General features: G+C 41.0%; 1 pseudogene, besides 1 other annotated feature; it reads right to left on the minus strand.

The window, feature by feature from the left end:
- Positions 712-912: a silencer, noted in NCBI's record as "peak1590 fragment used in MPRA reporter construct". NCBI's record gives its function as "represses an SCP1 promoter by STARR-seq MPRAs in K562 erythroleukemia cells {active_cell/tissue: K562}" and the evidence as "EXISTENCE:reporter gene assay evidence [ECO:0000049][PMID:32103011]".
- Positions 15,953-16,406, minus strand: BORCS8P1 (BORCS8 pseudogene 1; annotated as a pseudogene).

The raw sequence follows: 17,453 nt of genomic DNA on the forward strand, positions 1-17,453 counted from the left end.
TGGGGGCTTGCACCTATAATCCCAGCTACTCGGGAGGCTAAAGCAGGAGATTTGAGTTTGAGGCTTCAGTAAGCTATGATTACACCACTGCACTCCAGCCTGGTAACAGATCAAGACCCTGTCTTTTAAAATTTTTTTTAAAAAGAAAGAAATTAAATGTAATGTATTCGCTACAATTTTTAATAGCACAACACTTTTTTTTTAAAGGCAGTTTAGGATTTCAAGAGAATGCATTTAGTGTTGTAGAATACTGCTGTTAGTACTTTCAAACCAACATGGCCCTATAAAACTTCTCAATAAACCAGACTACACAATTTCTGTCTTATACCAATCGTAGAAATACCTGTTGGCTCTTCTTCTGCCATTGCTCCCTTCACTCTGTAAGACTGCCATGTCCGCCCCATCTGGGAGGTGGGGGGCTCCTCTGCCCAGCTGCCACCCCGTCTGGGAGATGTACCCAACAGCTCATTGAGAACGGGCCATGATGACAATGGCAGTTTTGTCGAATAGAAAAGGGGGAAATGTGGGGAAAAGAAAGAGAGATCAGATTGTTGCTGTGTCTGTGTAGAAGGAAGTAGACATAGGAGACTCCATTTTGTTCTGTACTAAGAAAAATTATTCTGCCTTGGGATGCTGTTAATCTATAACCTTACCACCAACCCCGTGCTCTCTGAAACATGTGCTGTGTCAACTCAGGGTTAAATGGATTAAGGGCAGTGCAAGATGTGCTTTGTTAAACAGATGCTTGAAGGCAGCGTACTCGTTAAGAGTCATCACCACTCCCTAATCTCAAGTACCCAGGGACACAAACACTGTGGAAGGCGGCAGGGCCCTCTGCCTAGGAAAACCAGAGACCTTTGTTCACATGTTTATCTGCTGACCTTCCCTCCACTATTGTCCTATGCCCTGCCAAATCCCCCTCTCCGAGAAACACCCAAGAATGATCAATAAATACTAAAAAAAAAAAAAAAAAAAAAAGACTGCCATGTCACTGGGAGGTAGGCTACAGCAGAAACACCATAGAGGCAACAGAAATCATTCTAATGGCACTACTAGTCTATAGCCAATATATTTGCTCCTAATCAACCTGGAAATGGCCCGTGAGTCCATCTGTATCCTAGGTCTAGAAAGACACAGGCCTAAACTCAATTATAGGAAAAGAAGCCACCTTAGTATAATTCCATTGCTCCCAAAAAAGATTAATTTTAATTTCAAAATGAATCCAGAGTAGGCAGAAACCAATTGCATCCAGAATCATCACATAAGACTTCATCTACACCTGGTTGGAAATATTTAAAGCAAGTCATAAAACATCACCACTTTAGTGATTCATCTAGATTGATTATTGTCCTTGAAAATAAGGGGATCTCTTGAGAAAAATAGGTGGATTAATGAAGTCACTTGCCTAAGTTGGAAATCAGGTAGTATGGCTTTAGAGTTTCTGCTCTGGACTTCTGTACTAAATAGTCCCTCCCTTAGTGGACTGCTCCATTCTCCTCCCTGCTGAGGAGAAACAAACATGTCTGACAAAGTAGAGGGCCCACTTGCATCCCACTGATAATCTCAACCATTCTTCTGAAGAACTGCCACTGCCGGCTCCTCTTACTTGTTCCAAATCTGGTTTGAGAGTGGTCACCTCATTCTATGCCTTCCTCGACATTGTGGTCAAGAGTGGTATGTCCTGTTTGGAAAACAGATACTGATTTCTGCACATGCTTTCTTTGGTCTGTCATATGTGTCTCTCAATTTGTAATTCAAATTGGACTTTATAATGGTAAACTTCTAAAGGGCAGGAACGTGTTTCCTAGCTTTGTGTGTGTGTGTGCATTTCCCACCATAATGAGCAAACCATAGTCGTTTTATGATGTTTTATTAATATGCACTTAAAGTTATTCTTTTGGTATGCCTGTGTATTTTTTGCATATGCTCTTACATAATAGTAAAGTATCGCATTTAGCAGAGAGGTAATAGACTTTTTTTTTTTTTTTTTGAGACGGAGTCTCGCCCTGTCGCCCAGGCTGGAATGCAGTGGTGCGATCTCAGCTCACTGCAACCTCCGCCTCCCGGGTTCAACCTATTCTCCTGCCCCAGCCTCCCAAGTAGCTGGGATCACAGGCGCGCGCCACTACGCCCAGCTAATTTTTGTATTTTTAGTGGAGACGGGGTTTCACTATGTTGGTCAGGCTGGTCTCGAACTCTTGACCTCGTGATCCGCCCGCCTGGGCCTCCCAAAGTGCTGGGATTACAGGCGTGAGCCATCACGCCCAGCCAGACTTTTATATTTAAAGCTTCCTTTTTTCATCCTCCAAGTTGTTCTGAAATTATCTAACATGATCCTCTTACTTTACTACCAGATACTAGTTCATCAGGGTGACATAGGATTTTATTTCTTACATCCTTTTTTGTTTTTGTTTTTAAGGATGGGGACTTCCTCTGTCACCCAGGCTGGAGCACAGTGGCACAATCATAGCTCACTATAACCTTGAGCTCCTGGGCTCAGGTGATCCTCCCATCACAGCCTCCTGAGTAGCTGGGACTACAGGTGTGCACCACCATGCCTGACTAACTTTCATACATTTTTACAAAATGAATTATGTAACACAACTTCACTAGCCTATGTGGGTCACCTTTCTCTATAATTGCTAAATAAAAAGGATAAGAGCCTTCATCCAAGGGAATGCAGGGAGTCTAGTCCCACCCCTAGATTTTATGAAGATAGTAAATTCTCATGTTTCACAAATCCATCATGGGTGTTTTGGGTCAACTCCCTCTGGGCTGCTACATCAGATTTCTCCACTGATCACGCTGGCTGGAGGCTATTTAGTCTCCCCAGAATATAGACACAGATTCCGCCAAAAACATAGAAATGGATGCCCTCAGACCAGCCTGGCCAATATGGCAAAACCCCATCTCTACTGAAAATACAAAAATTAGCCGGGTTTGGTGGCGCGCCCCTGTGGTCCCAGCTACTCAGGAGGCTGAGGCAGGAGAACTGCTTGAACCCAGAAGGTGGAGACTGCAGTGAGCTGAGATCATGCCACTGCACTCCAGCCTGAGCGACAGAGTGAGACTCCTTCTCAAAAAAAAAAAAAAGAAAGAAAGAAGAAATGGATCCCCCCACACCTTGAATTCAGAAAATACTACTAACCAACATTTTAGCATATTTTACTAAGGCTTGAAGAAGTTGCAAGGGATTATAATAAAGAAAAGGAAAATATGAATGTTTATGTGAGATGTTCATCCTAGAACCTAGAGTCTATTGGCATGCCATTTCAAAGGGACTCTTCAGGCAGACTCTTTCTTTGGGCCCCAGGCTTCTGGGATGTTCACAGAAACCATTTAACATTCTCAAGATAAAAGCTCTTCTTTTCTATCTCTCCTCTCACAAATAACATATCCCCAAGCCCTGTCTTAGGCTCAGCTAGAAGAGGCAGAGCCAGGTCATGTAACCAAAGTGTCTTCCAAGAGACAGTTACCCCCAAAAGAATTCAGCAGACTTAGTATCTATTTGGGGATGACTTTATCAATGGGCTTCCCCAAAGGTAATTGTGGGCACTTAATTTACAAATACCCACCTTTAAAAATTGCTATTTACTTAATTAATTTACAGATACTTTGCTCATGATATATGAGTCCTCTCTAAACAAAGGAAGGTGGTAAACCCCAAGACAAATACACATTCCCACCATTTGTGGAGGAGTTGCAGGGAGGAATGCTTGGTGGTTTCGAATATTTTATCCCCTTTTCCAACCATCGAGAATTTCTATCAGGACCCATAGTCCTAGATTACCGCCACAATAGCATCATTAACATTTTTAAAGCATGACTATTTCTATATGAGTCTTCCCTTCTTAGACAAAAAGGCATTAAAGGCTTGTATTTCCCTATTTTCTTACATTCAAGCACTATCCTATCACAATTAAACTTATTGGCTTATTCCTAAGAGCCTTCATGTTTGTATTCTTGGAGCATTAAACTGCCGTTAAATTTGGGAGGTATTAAGTTAGTAAGGGATTGGCTTACGAACCACTTCAGAAGTAGCCTTCAGAAAGGTATTTATTGCCAGGCATGGTGGCTCAGACCTGTAATTCCAACACTTTGGGAGGCTGGAGGATCACTTGAGCCTAGGGTTTCAAGATCAGCCTCTGCAACATAGCGAGACCTCGTCTCTACTAAAAATAAAAATTAAAAAATTACCTGGACTTGATGTCATGCACCTGCAGTCCCAGCTATTCAGGAGAGTGAGGTGGGAGGATCATGCGAGCCTGGCAGTCTGAGGTTGCAGTGAGCCATGATGGCACCACTGCACTCCAACCTGGGTGACAGAGTGAGAGCCTGTCTCAAAAAAAAAAAAAAAAAAAGAAAGAAAGAAAGAAAGAAACGAAAAGAAAAGCACTTATTACCAGGAAAAAGGGTAGGGGATATGCGGCATTTTGTTAGTAAAAGAGTCACTGAAAAAAAATCTGCGAACCACTGTTTCAAGGGAAGCTTGTACTTATTCACCCATTGAACTTTGTCATCTTCTGATGGGTGTGGTAGGCTTACTCATAAAGAAAAGAAAGACTCCTAGAAATTTCTCTATTCTTATCTTGAATTCTGGTTGTTCCTGCAATACAGAGCTAGTATTTAATTATTTGGTCTACTTTCTTTGTGTACTACAAATTCTGTAATATTGGGAACATTAACCAATTCAGTAAGAGTTGAAGGAAGAGAGAATACAGAGCTAGTATTTAATTATTTGGTCTACTTTCTTTGTGTACTACAAATTCTGTAATATTGGGAACATTAACCAATTCAGTAAGAGTTGAAGGAAGAGAGGGGACTTTACATATATACATACATATATATATATATATATATATATATATATATATATAGCCTTTGAAAGATTGCCAAAGGAGGGCAAAACAGTTTGGATACAGTCTCAATAAGCTTATCATATTTTAAATCTGCCTAAGAGCTTACGTGTAAACCTCAAGTTAAACAACAGTTGACATGCATGCATTCTGATAAAACTCGATTACCTAATACACTAAATTTCAGAACTGGTGGGAAAAAATAGATTTTTACTGGCAAAGTTATGTCTTTTTTTCAGCTGAAAATTAATACATGGAAGGATAATCTTAGGAAATGTCATTTGTTTTATATGCACGTATCTAACTCTAAAACAAACTTTATTGCTCCGTGTAATTATACAAATGCTGTATATGTATGTTGCTAAGTACTTAAAATCTTCATTGTAACTATAGTTGAACTTCTAATGAATACCCAGGGACAGCAAAGACATGTCTGAACAGGTAAATCAGTGCATAATTAAATGACATGCATGTCCTGTGTATTGCAATCTTTTAAAGCTCTGAGTACTTTCTATTACGCAATTTTTTAGAGCAGCTCTTTTTTTTTTTTTTACACAAACATGATAAGGACACAAAAGACTTATTTTCTTTTCCTCTGGCCACTGTGTTATGAGAACCTCATGTCTTACCACACCAACCCCCGCCCTTGACTGGATTGCCAGTAAAGACCAGATTTTTCCAAATATTATGTTCTAGCTGGATTTGCAACAATCATAAGTCAATCATTAGGAATCCTGTGCATATGGCAAACTTTTTTTTTTTTTTTTTTTTGAGACAGAGTCTTGCTCTGTCACCCAGGCTGTAGTGTAGTGGTGCAATCTCAGCTCACTGCAACCTCCGCCTCCCGGGTTCAAGCAATTCCCCTGCCTCAGCCTCCTATGTAGCTGGGACTATAGGTGCGTGCCACCATGCCCAGCTAATTTTTTCTATTTTAGTAGAGACGGAGTTTCACCACGTTGGCCAGGATGGTCTCGATCTCCTGACCCCGTGATCCACCCACCTCAGCCTCCCAAAGTGCTGGGATTACAGGCGTGAGCCACCTTGCCTAGCCGCGAAGTTTATTTTAATAGTATTTTGAACTGAAAATAAGCAAGCTTTTTTTTGTTTTCCCCAGACAGGGTCTTGCTCTGTCACCCAGGCTGGAGCACAATGGCACAATCATAGCTCACTATAACCTCGGACTCCTGGGCTCAAGGATCCTCCTATCTCTGCCTTCCAAGAGCTGGGACAACAGGTGAGTGCCACCACACCTGGCTAATTTTTTTTTTTTTTTTTTTTTGAGACAGAGTCTTGCTCTGTCATCAAGTTGGAGTGCAGTAGTACCATCTGGGCTCACTGTAACCTCCACCTCCCAGGTTTAAGTGATTCTCCTGCCTCAGCCTCCCGAGTAGCTGGGACTACAGGTGCGCACCACCACCCCAAGCTAATTTTTGTATTTTTAGTAGAGATGGGGTTTCACCGTGTTCGCCAGGATGGTCTCGATCTCTTGACCTCATGATCCGCCCACCTCGGCCTCCCAAAGTGCTGGGATTACAGGCGTGAGCCACTGCACCCAGCCTACCTGGTTAATTTTTTAAAAAATTTTTTTGTAGAGATGGAGATCTCACTATGTTGCCCAGGCTACTTGCCAACTCCTGGACTCAAACCATCTTCTCCCTTCATCCTCCCAAAATGCTGGGATTACAGATGTGAACAACCGTGCCCAACAGGAACATATTTAAAATTGTAATATCCAAAGAATACTACCATAGCTCAAGTTTGTTTTTATTCACATGTTCCACAGCATTCACTTTAAGTAAATATCCATTATTGTTTCCCAAATCCTTTTGGGGTCAGCAAATAATACTTTAAGAAAAAGTTTGTGGGGGAAAAAAGGAAATTTTAATTACTTTCCATGGGAAAGTTCCAAATGGAACAAAAGTGGTTCTTAGATATAATTTTACAAAACCCTTATAGCACGTTGAGGCTAAAGGCATTTATGCAATTACTAAGTCTACTGTATATGTGAGCAAACATGAGGGTAGAATAAGAATAGAGCTATTATGTTACTGTACCATTATTCTAGTGGTCTGCCTTTAATACCCAGAGACATCTTTGGAGAATGTCAAAATGTTCCCTTTATTATAACATTTTTTTCTTTCTTTTTCTTCTGATTAATAAGGTGGGTTGATAATATAAATTTTTAAATTTTTATTTTTATTTTTTGGAGACAGAGTCTCACTTTGTCACCCCGGCTGAAGTGCAGTGGCACAATCTCAGCTCACTGCAGTCTTGACCTCCCAGGCTCAAGCCATCCTCCTGCCTTAGCCCCACAAGTAGCTGGGACTATAGGCGTGTGCCACCATGCCTAGATAATTTTTGTATTTTTTGTAGAGACAGGTTTTTGCCATGTTGCCCAGGCTGGTCTCGAACTCCTGAGCTCAAGTAATTCGCCCACCTTGGCGTCCCAGAGGGCTGGGATTACAGGCATGAGCCCCACGCCGGGCCTATAACTTTTTAAAATTGTTATATCTAGTTCTTTGCTAGAGAAATTTTATTTTGATAAATGAGTTAATAATTATAATTTAATTATAATACAGAAAAGGTTTCAGTGGTATCCAAAAGGAAAGATTTGACTGATATATGAATGTGCTCGCTTCTGAAATAGAAGCAACAAGAAAATATAATCATTTTAACTAAGGCCAGACAATTGAGGCAAAGTATACGACCAATGGAATTGCCATTCAAGCATGGCAGGTATTTTGTTCCAGCATTCCCCATTTTCAGGTTAATCTTCAAATTTTTTTCCCCAAATGATTTCTCAGGGCTACGTGTCCCCTGCTTTGAAACAGCATGCTGTTGTTTCCATAACATGAAGTCTATTCTCTAGGGTGGCCAGATCTCAGCTGAGGGCAAATCATTCTCAGAATCATTGCTCTGTTCCCATGACCTGGACCTGATTAAACAAATTACAGTGGCAAGCCCAGAAGTATTCCTCCAACCAGTTAGGCAGAAACTTGGGACCTAAGCAAGAGACAAGGCACAGAGGAGAGCAACAAGGTGCAGCTAACTTTTTTTCTGGCAAGAATAAGAAAAGAAGATGGACACTGCAAACAAGGGCAGAATTCTATAAACCTTGATAGTGATGGTGAACACCAGCATGAAACAAATAAAGCATCATAAAATGACAAGCAATTACAGACTCTGCAGTAAGTAGATGAGCAAACCTGATATATTAACTAGTTCCAATGCTCCAAGTACAAAATTTATGTATGAATCTAACAAAATTAATAGAATAATAACAGTGCTTAAATTTTTTATTAAAAGCTGCCCATCAATGCAACTCTATCTTTCCTATATGTTGTTTTTATAATTCATTTTCTGTATCTCTGGGTCTAATTGGCCATAGTCCATCTTGTTTTAAAAGTTCATCATTCCAAGATCAATTCCACTGGTTAAAATAGGCAATCTTTCCACAACTTGTAAACATAAAACTTGCCTGGAAATAGCCTGCTTTCCTTCCCTTTGTAGATGTTAATCAAACTTAACAGCATAGACTTGAAATTCAATTCAGTTTGGCTAGACATGAATTCAACTGACTTTAACATTTTAAATGATAAAAAATAATAAAACCAGTAATACAAAAGAGGATCTAGACATTGCCTTATCAATACTCAAAATGGATATTTACAAGTGTTTCCCAAGTAAGGCAAGTCGTAAGTATTTGATTTAATAATAGTATGCTGTTCCACAACTAGTGTATATTGAGGAATTGCATCCATAGACAACTCCAAGGTCAAAGTCCTTATAATATCATCTTTATACAGTTAAATGGATTAATTAGCAAAAAGATATTGATATCCCGTCTTGAGAATATAATAATTCAGGCAAGCTACAGTCAATCAATTTGTGTATTTGATAATTATGTATTGGGCACCAATGTGTATCAGGCCCCAGTTAGGGCCTAAAAATCACCACAGATAAAACCAATATGTTCCACACTCATTATAAGAAGAAAGGAGCTTTCAGCGGTAGAGAAAGCTTTGCTTTTCCACAGGTCTCCCATCGTTTGTGAGGAAGAGCTAGTTCTCATTTTCTCTAAATAGGGAGGCTTAAGACTGTGGAGAAAAATGAAATGAGAAGAGAGTAGATACTGATATTTCTATGTGGGGCAGAGGATGTACAAACACCTATGCCCTGCCTTTTGTCTGGAGATTCCAACAAAAATGAGGATATGGGATGAGACAATGGCACAGGCATAGAAATTAAACAGGGGAGGTTTCAAAGACTCCCATGCTTATCAAGGCAGTCCGTTGTTAAAGACCAAAATCATTAAGGCTTTGTTAACCACATTTTTTGTTGTTTTAGGGGCTCGTGTTTCTCTCAAGCCTAGTGTGCTCTCTGTTCATCTTATACATTAAAAAATAATAAGCAATAGGAAAATTGTGTCCTTAAAGATAGTACAGACCGGGCACAGTGGCTCACGCCTGTAATCCCAGCTTTTCGGGAGGCTGAGGCTGGCGGATCACCTGAGGTCAGGAGTTCAAGACCAGCCTGGCCAACATGGTGAAACCCTGTCTCTACTAAAAGTACAAAAATTAGCCAGGCATGGTGGCACACACCTGTAATCCCACCTACTCGGGAGGCTGAGGCAAGAGAATTGCTTGAACTCAGGAGACGGAGGCTGCAGTGAGCCGAGATCATGCCACTGCACTCCAGCCTGGGCAAGAGAGCGAGACTCTCTCTCAAAAAAAAAGAAAAGAAAAGTTAGTACATATTTATTTTTCCTTGAATAATTCTATCTTTATAGCTTATACCTCTAGCTCATAGTAGCCATCAACGTAGTAATGCTATTTTTTCTTAGACATTAATATGACTTATAAGCATCTTTTATTGGATAATAACAACAAAAAAACTTGTTTGTGAAGTGTCTTATAGTTTACAAAACACTTTCACCTACATTATCTCATTTGATTAATGACTCTGGCAGGTGGCCTGGGCAGCCATATTTATCTTTGCTTTGTAGAAACCAAGACTTAAAGACGTTATGAAACACCTAAGGCATCACAGTGAGTTACAAGTAGAGCTGAGATTTAAACCTAAATCATGTGTCTTCAAGCCTAGATCATGTGATCCTACTTTAATTTCTTCTTTCCGTGGTCTGTCTCCCATAAGAAGTAAATTATGGTACCATGGCATTTAGCCATCACTGCTTTAGATGTTGCTAAGGCAAATGGTTTTTATCCCATCTTTAGTTAGCATCATATAAGCAATAGGTAATAAGTAAAAAGTCGCTAGCTACTCCTATGCATTAAGGAACCTGAAAGAAAGGGTTAATCATTATGTAAAGAATATTATGAACGGCCTAAAGAGAAGAAAGAAAATAAAAGAGCAATGGCCCCTTATAAAAGGTTTATTAAGAGAAGAGCATTTAATCTGAAATTTTAATAAAATAATTATCCTCTTAGTGATTGGCTAATATATTAATCTTGCTGGAGTAATGTTTTTATCTTCTAAAAGATATCTGTTTGATAAAATGGGCTGAGGATAAAAAATTTAAGCTATTTTTAAGTCACTGAGCTTTTCAGTGACTCTTGACGCCAGGTCCCCATTTGATGCCTTATTGTACTATTCACTAAAAGCAACATGGTCAGCCACTTAGAACACCACTTCTGGAAAGTTGCCTTGGTTTCCCTCCACATTTTCAGATATTCAAATTAATAGAATAATTTTTGAAATTTTTCCTGTTTAACACAATTCACCAATAGGTATAGAGCACCAGATGCCAGGCACCAGGACATACAAAGACCAATAAAACTTATTCTATGACCTCAAGAAGTTTGCAAGAGCAACTTCTATATGTATAGCAATGTTTACTTAGGGCCTACATTTATATCTAGTCAATAACATTTTGAGCTGAATTATCAGCACTTTTCCCTTTTCTAACAATGCTTCCCACCTAGGAGATGGGCCCTGTGACTCTCATTGTCACTAATTCCAGCAACACAAGATGTGATCAGGTCTGGACAGTGGACCAAGCTGGACTAATTAGATTCATCCTCCTGCCTTTTGAATAAGGACGCAGAGAGTCTTGTAAATGAGCTCTGGGTTATGGATCAGCTAGACTCAGGAAATGAGGGCTCTGGATTGGCTAGGCATGATTTTAGAGTTGCCAGATAAAATACAGGCATGCTATATTTTTGCTTGTCAAATCTGGCAACTGTACATGATGTGCCATATAAAAGTGGAGTTAAGAAAGCTATTCTGCAAAAAGGAGTAGAAACGTAGAAATAGCAAAAATTAACAACTATGGTGAAAGTGTAGTGGGGAAGAGGATAAGTTTCAGGAAAAGAAAAAATATCCCAAGAGTTGCCTCAGTCACTGACAACTTTCCAGTCCTCAGCTCCAGTCCCTCAAGGAATGTGGCTGCATTTCTTGCCCTTGAGTTCTGTAAGATACCTTGACTGTTTATAAGAGATTTTTTTTCTTTAGATAGCTTAGAAGAAATATGTTTCTCGTATCAAACATGTCCAAAGGCATACATAATGTTGTCACACTTTGAGAAAAAGTTTTTATTATTTCACAAATGTTAAAGAATTCACAGAGTCCATGAAATAGATGAATAGGAAACTTGTTTCTTATTTACCAAGTAGGAAAGTTTGCCTCAAATACAATGAGATGTCTGGATCAGTACGTCTAAAATTGTGCATTTGGAAACCTGCATAGGTCTCCTTGGTTTCCTTAGAAGTATAGTTAATGAGTAATGTACATTCCCTAGGTGTTATTCTAAAATGTTGTCCCCAAAGTAAAAAGTATCCACAGGATAAAGTTAGACTTTAGGCATAATTCAATTTCAATTATGTTTATTCCTCCTCTTCCTTTTTCTTGTCTCTTTCTTTCTCCTTCTCTTTTTTCTCCCTTGTCCCATTCTCTAATCTCCCTGGCTAAATTCCTCCAGAGGAAAAAAAAAAAAGGCCATCAAAAAAGTCACTAACACCTCAGTGTAAATGAGTTGAAAGTGCTATTCGCACTTGTAGTATTTGCACTTTAAAAGAAGACCTTTAAGAGAGGGGAAGCCAACAGAATATTTCTGGGCTTCCCAGAACAGCAAACTTACTATAGTGCTATGGACAACAACCTATACACAACCCTATTTAATGTGGTGTTTATATTAAATTAATATTAGATCATGGGGTGAGACAGGTCATCATGGTGAATATTCAAAAAATCTTCTTGGTCTGGGTCCATCTACCCAAATTGGGACATGGCTAGGACTGGAGATGACTTTTACTGGTGTGGATCTAGGAAAAGGATCCATGGATATGTAAGCTAGGGACAGTCATCAATGTCAACGGAGCAATGGCCCAACTCCCAGAAGAACAAAGAAACAGAACTGACAGGGGACCTGAAGGAGGGGCAAGAGAGACAATCTAAAACATACACTCGGTAGTATATTTCCAAGGTTAGTTGTAAGGAGAGGCCAAGTAAGAGAACTACATTGCAAGGTTCTTGAACCTAAACAGAACACAGGTGGCTAGGCATTTGAATTTTACCCACAAGCTAATTGTTCCCTCTATCCAAAAACATCTTCCCCTGCCTAAAACTTTACTACCTGGATGTTCTTTTTATTCATTAAACAATCTCTTTTTGGCATTTGAAGGAAGATTGTAAGTCATTCATACCTTAACATAAACGATGAAGAAACCAGTCAGTTCCAAACTATATTTTAAAACATGGGACTGTTGGGTAGTAGCACAGCTACTTGGGAGGCTGAGGCAGAAGGTGTCCAGGAGTTTGAGGCTATAGTGAGCTATGATTGCACCACTGCATTCAAGCCTGAGTGACAGAGACACTGGTCTCTTAAAGATAAATAAATAGGCTGGAAGCAGTGGCTCATGTCTGTAATCCCAGCACTTTGGGAGGTAGAAGTAGGAGAATGGCTTGACTCCAGGAGTTCAAGTCCAGCCTAGGCAACATAATGAAAGGAACCCTGTATCTACAAAAAAAAAAAAAAAAAAAAATTAGCCAGGTGTGTGTGCCTATAGTCCCAGCTACTCAGGAAGCTGAGGTGGGAGAATCGCATGAGCCCAGGACTTTGAGACTACAGTGAGCTATGATTGTGCCACAGCACTCTAACCTGAGCCACAAATGAGACCCAGTCTCTGAAAAAAAAATTTTTTTAATAGAAATAAATAAATAAAATGTGGAAATGTTCTTTTTTTTTTAAGACGGAGTCTCTCTGTCGCCCAGGCTGGAGTACAGTGGCTCGATCTCAGCTCACTGCAAGCTCGGCCTCCTGGGTTCACGCCATTCTCCTGCCTCAGCCTCTCGAGTAGCTGGGACTACAGGCGGCCGCCACCACGCCCGGCTAATTTTTTGTATTTTTAGTAGAGACGGGGTTTCACCGTGTTAGCCAAGATGGTCTCGATCTCCTGACCTCGTGATCTGCCCGCCTTGGCCTCCCAAAGTGCTGGGATTACAGGCGTGAGCCACTGCTCCCGGCTGGAAATGTTCTTATGGCTAGGGAGAAGGAAGAATTAATTTTGAAATAGGGGGGTATTTTGAGGGGCAGGCAGGCCCAGTTATGACAGGAAGGCAGCATTGATGACACTTAGTACTAAAGTGCTAGAATTATGGACAAGAATTGGAAGACAAACAGAAGAAAGCCTTTAAATTCAATTTTTCTAGTTTACATTTTCTACAGTTTACCCATCCCACAAGATGACTCCCAGAACCCAGATGGAAAGAACAATATATAGTACCTTTATGCAAAGTACATCCTTTCCCCCAGGTGGTGAAGAGGCATGCCAGGATCCACAGCTCAGCGAGCAGAGGGGCTATAGATTCCAGCCCCCTGTCTGCATTTTCTTACCTGGGCATCCTTGTGCACAACTTACACAACCATATGTGCAGCATTCCCTTCTTCCTTTCCTCCTCTGCCCCCCTCATACATATGTCTACCTGGTACTTAACGAAATGTGACTCAACCATCAAGACCCAGCTCAAGTAGCACTTAGGTTGTGATTTTCACAGGAGAGGCCTCTCCTCTACTGCCTTATGCTAACACTAGAGACACATCGTAGAATAGTGACTAACAGTGCCAACTCTGGAGCCAAACTGCTTGGGTGCAAATCCCAGCTCTGCCATTTCTTAGTGGTATAACTGTGGACCCACTGCCTGTTCCTTTATCTATAAAATGGAAGAATGTAAGTAACAATCTCGTAAGTTTGTTATGGATATCTAACAAGATAATACATGTAACATACTTAGAATAATACTTGGCATAATGAGCACTCAGTAGGTATTTGGAATTGCTGTAACTCAGTTGATGCTGATAGGGTATCATTATCCCAGTGAATTTTTGTTAGGCTGATATGTGCCTAGTTTTTCTAGTCAAGGAAAAAATTTTATTCATGTTTATATTCCTAGGACCTGGTTAAAAAAAAAATTACAGGTTCTAGGCTGGGCGCGGTGGCTCACACCTGTAATCCCAGCACTTTGGGAGGCCGAGGCAGGTGGATCACGAGGTCAGGAGTTCAAGACCAGCCTGGCCAAGATGGTGAAACCCCGTCTCTACTAAAAATACAAAAATTAGCTGGGTGTGGTGGCCCACGCCTGTTATCTCAGCTACTCAGGAGGCTGAGGCAGGAGAATCGCTTGAACCTGGGAGACAGAGGTTGCAGTGAGCCGAGATCATGCCCCCGCACTCAAGCCTGGGCAACAGACCAAGACTCTATCTCCAAAAAAAAAAAAAAAAGAAGGAAAGAAAAAGGAAAAAAAAAAGAAAAATTACAGGTTCTAGAAGATACTCTGTATATTTTTGATAAATAAATGAGTAAGCCTCTGGGACTCAATAGCCAAGGAGATTCCTCTCTTGGGAAAACAGGATTCCAGAGAGAAGTCCCAAAGAACAGTATATCCCACGTTTCTGGCCCAGATGCCCCAGATCCACTTAAATGGAAAGTAGAGATAGTTTTGTGGTATGAACCTGTGACACTGCAGAAAAAGCGAACTCCCCATTGCTTGAGGGCCCAAGAGAGAAGGTCTGTGAACAGTGGGTAGAGAGAGGATCTTCCTTCCAACACTAGACTCTGCCAATCCCAACTAAGAAACCTCTCCTCCCATTTGTTTTATACAAAAGGTGACATGGATCCCTGTGAAATGAGGCAAGCCTTTGATTGGACAGGCTCAAGGATAATAGTAAACAGAAGGTACTTTAGATTACACACGTCTAGGCATTGGAAGCTCATCAGGACATTGAATGGCACCTAGAATAGTGATTGGCACAATGTTGGTAATAAATAAGTGTTAGATTGATCCATAAATCGTAGAAAGAATAAAATAATTAACAAACAACAAGGAATAAGATTATCAATCAATCAGTCCTGGTGGCCAATCCTCAGATTATATTGTGAAGGTGGCTGGTTAGCAATAGTCTACAGTGTCCCGAGGAACACTGGGTCAAGGAATTACTAAAAGGTCTGGAGTCATTTGCATTTGAAAAAGGCTGCATGCTATACAGTGGAGATTTTTTAAAGTTAGCTTAATAAGAACTCTGCTTAGCTTTGTTTGGTTAACAGCATGAAACATTTTTCCCCTGCAGAGTGTTCAATAGTCTATCTCAACGTTTAAAAAACACGTAAAACTAAAATTAAATTTATGCTTAGAAATATAAACTATAATGCACATTTGAAAACAAGAGCAATTTCTGCTATGAAGCTATGGCATTTTTTAAAATTTCTGTCGTGGTTAAATACTGTTAGTGTTTTTGTTTTTATTTTTTATTTATTTATTTTTTTGAGATGGAGTCTTGCTCTGTTGCCCAGGCTGGAGTGCAGTGGCATGATCCTGGCTCACTGCAACCTCTGCCTCCCAGGTTCAAGCGATTCTCCTGCCTCAACCTCCCGAGTAGCTGGGATTACAGGCACCTGCCACCAAGCCCGGCTGATTTTTGTATTTTAGTAGAGACAGGATTTCACCATGTTGGCCAGACTGGTCTCGAACTCCTGACCTCAAGCGATCCACTTGCCTCGGCCTCCCAAAGTGCTGGGATTACAGGAATGAGCCACCGCGCCCGGCCTATCTTTATTTTATTTTATTTTTTAATTTAGTTTTTTGACAAGAGGAAAGAGTTTTCTAATAAGCGAGAAGCAGCGGGTTCCCAGCGCAGCTGAGAGACAGTCCTTGCGGCTGAGAGTGGCAGCAGGGGCGGGCGGTCCCAGGACCTACCTGTGGCCCTGGGCACTGGCATTCCTATGGTCTCGGATGCTGATGGCCCGTTTGAGCAGACCTTCCACGCTGCAGAAGTAGACGCTGCTGTCCACCAGGTTCTTCACGGCGCGGCAGGCGTACTCCACGGTGTAGATGGCTCCCCGGCTCTACTCCTCCCAACGCTGCATGTCTGCCTTGCGCTGGGCCAGCTCCGGGGAGGGAGTGGCGCATGTGCTCCTGCAGCCGGTACGGGGCCACAGACAGCCACAGTTCACCAGGACGTAGACACTCTCAGTGAATTTGTCCGTGACTTTTTTCCCCTTGAGCTGCATCTCTGGTTCCTCCATAGCGACCGCGACCCCTTTATTTTTTAATATGTGTTTTTAACATGGTAAAATAAACATAGCACAAAATTTGTATTTCAACCGTTTTTAAGTGTTCGATTCAACGGCATTAAGTACATTCGCCACGCTGTGCAACCATCACTACCAACCGTTTCCAGAAGTTTTTTTATCATCCCAAACAGAAACTTTACCCATCAAACAATAACTCCACATTCCACTCTTCCCCAGCCCCAGGTAACCTCTATTACGTTTTCTGTCTCTATGAATTTGACTATTCCATTTACCTCTTATAAGTGGAATCATACAATCTGGCATATTTCACTTAGCATCATGTTTTGTTTGTTTGTTTGTTTTTTGGAGACAGAGTCTCGCTCTATCGCCCAGGCTGGAGTGCAGTGGCGCGATCTCAGCTCACTGCAAGCTCCGCTTCCCAGGTTCACGCCATTCTCCTGCCTCAGCCTCCGGAGTAGCTGGGACTACAGGCGCCCGACACCACGCCTGGCTAATTTTTTTGTATTTTTAGTAGAGACGGGGTTTCACCGCGTTAGCCAGGACGGTCTCAAATCTCCTGACCTCGTGATCTGCTCGCCTCGGCCTCCCAAAGTGCTAGGATAACGGGCGTGAGCCACCGCGCCCGGCCAGCATCATGTTTTTAAGGTTCATCCATGTGGTAGCATGTATCAGAATTTCATTCCTTTTTAAGGCTGAATTATATTCCGCTCTATGGAATATAATTTTATTCTATGCATAGACCACATTTTGTCTATCCATTCGTCTGTCAGTGGACATTTGAGTTGTTTTCCTTTTGGCTACTGTGAATAATGCTGCTCTGAACATTGATGTACAGGTAGGTTTGAGTCCTTGTTTTCAGTCCTTCTGGTACATACCTAGAATTAAAGCAAAATTGCTGGATCATGTGGTAATTCTATATTTAACTTTTTGAAGAACTAGTATTTTTATTATGTATTTTATTTTTAGAGACAGAGGTCTCACTCTGTCGCCTAGGCTGAAGTGTAGTAGCACCATGATAGCTCACTACAGCCTCAAATTCCTGGGCTCAAGT

The sequence above is a fragment of the Homo sapiens genome, chromosome 12 (assembly GCF_000001405.40).
Source record: "Homo sapiens chromosome 12, GRCh38.p14 Primary Assembly".
Lineage (NCBI taxonomy): Eukaryota > Metazoa > Chordata > Mammalia > Primates > Hominidae > Homo > Homo sapiens.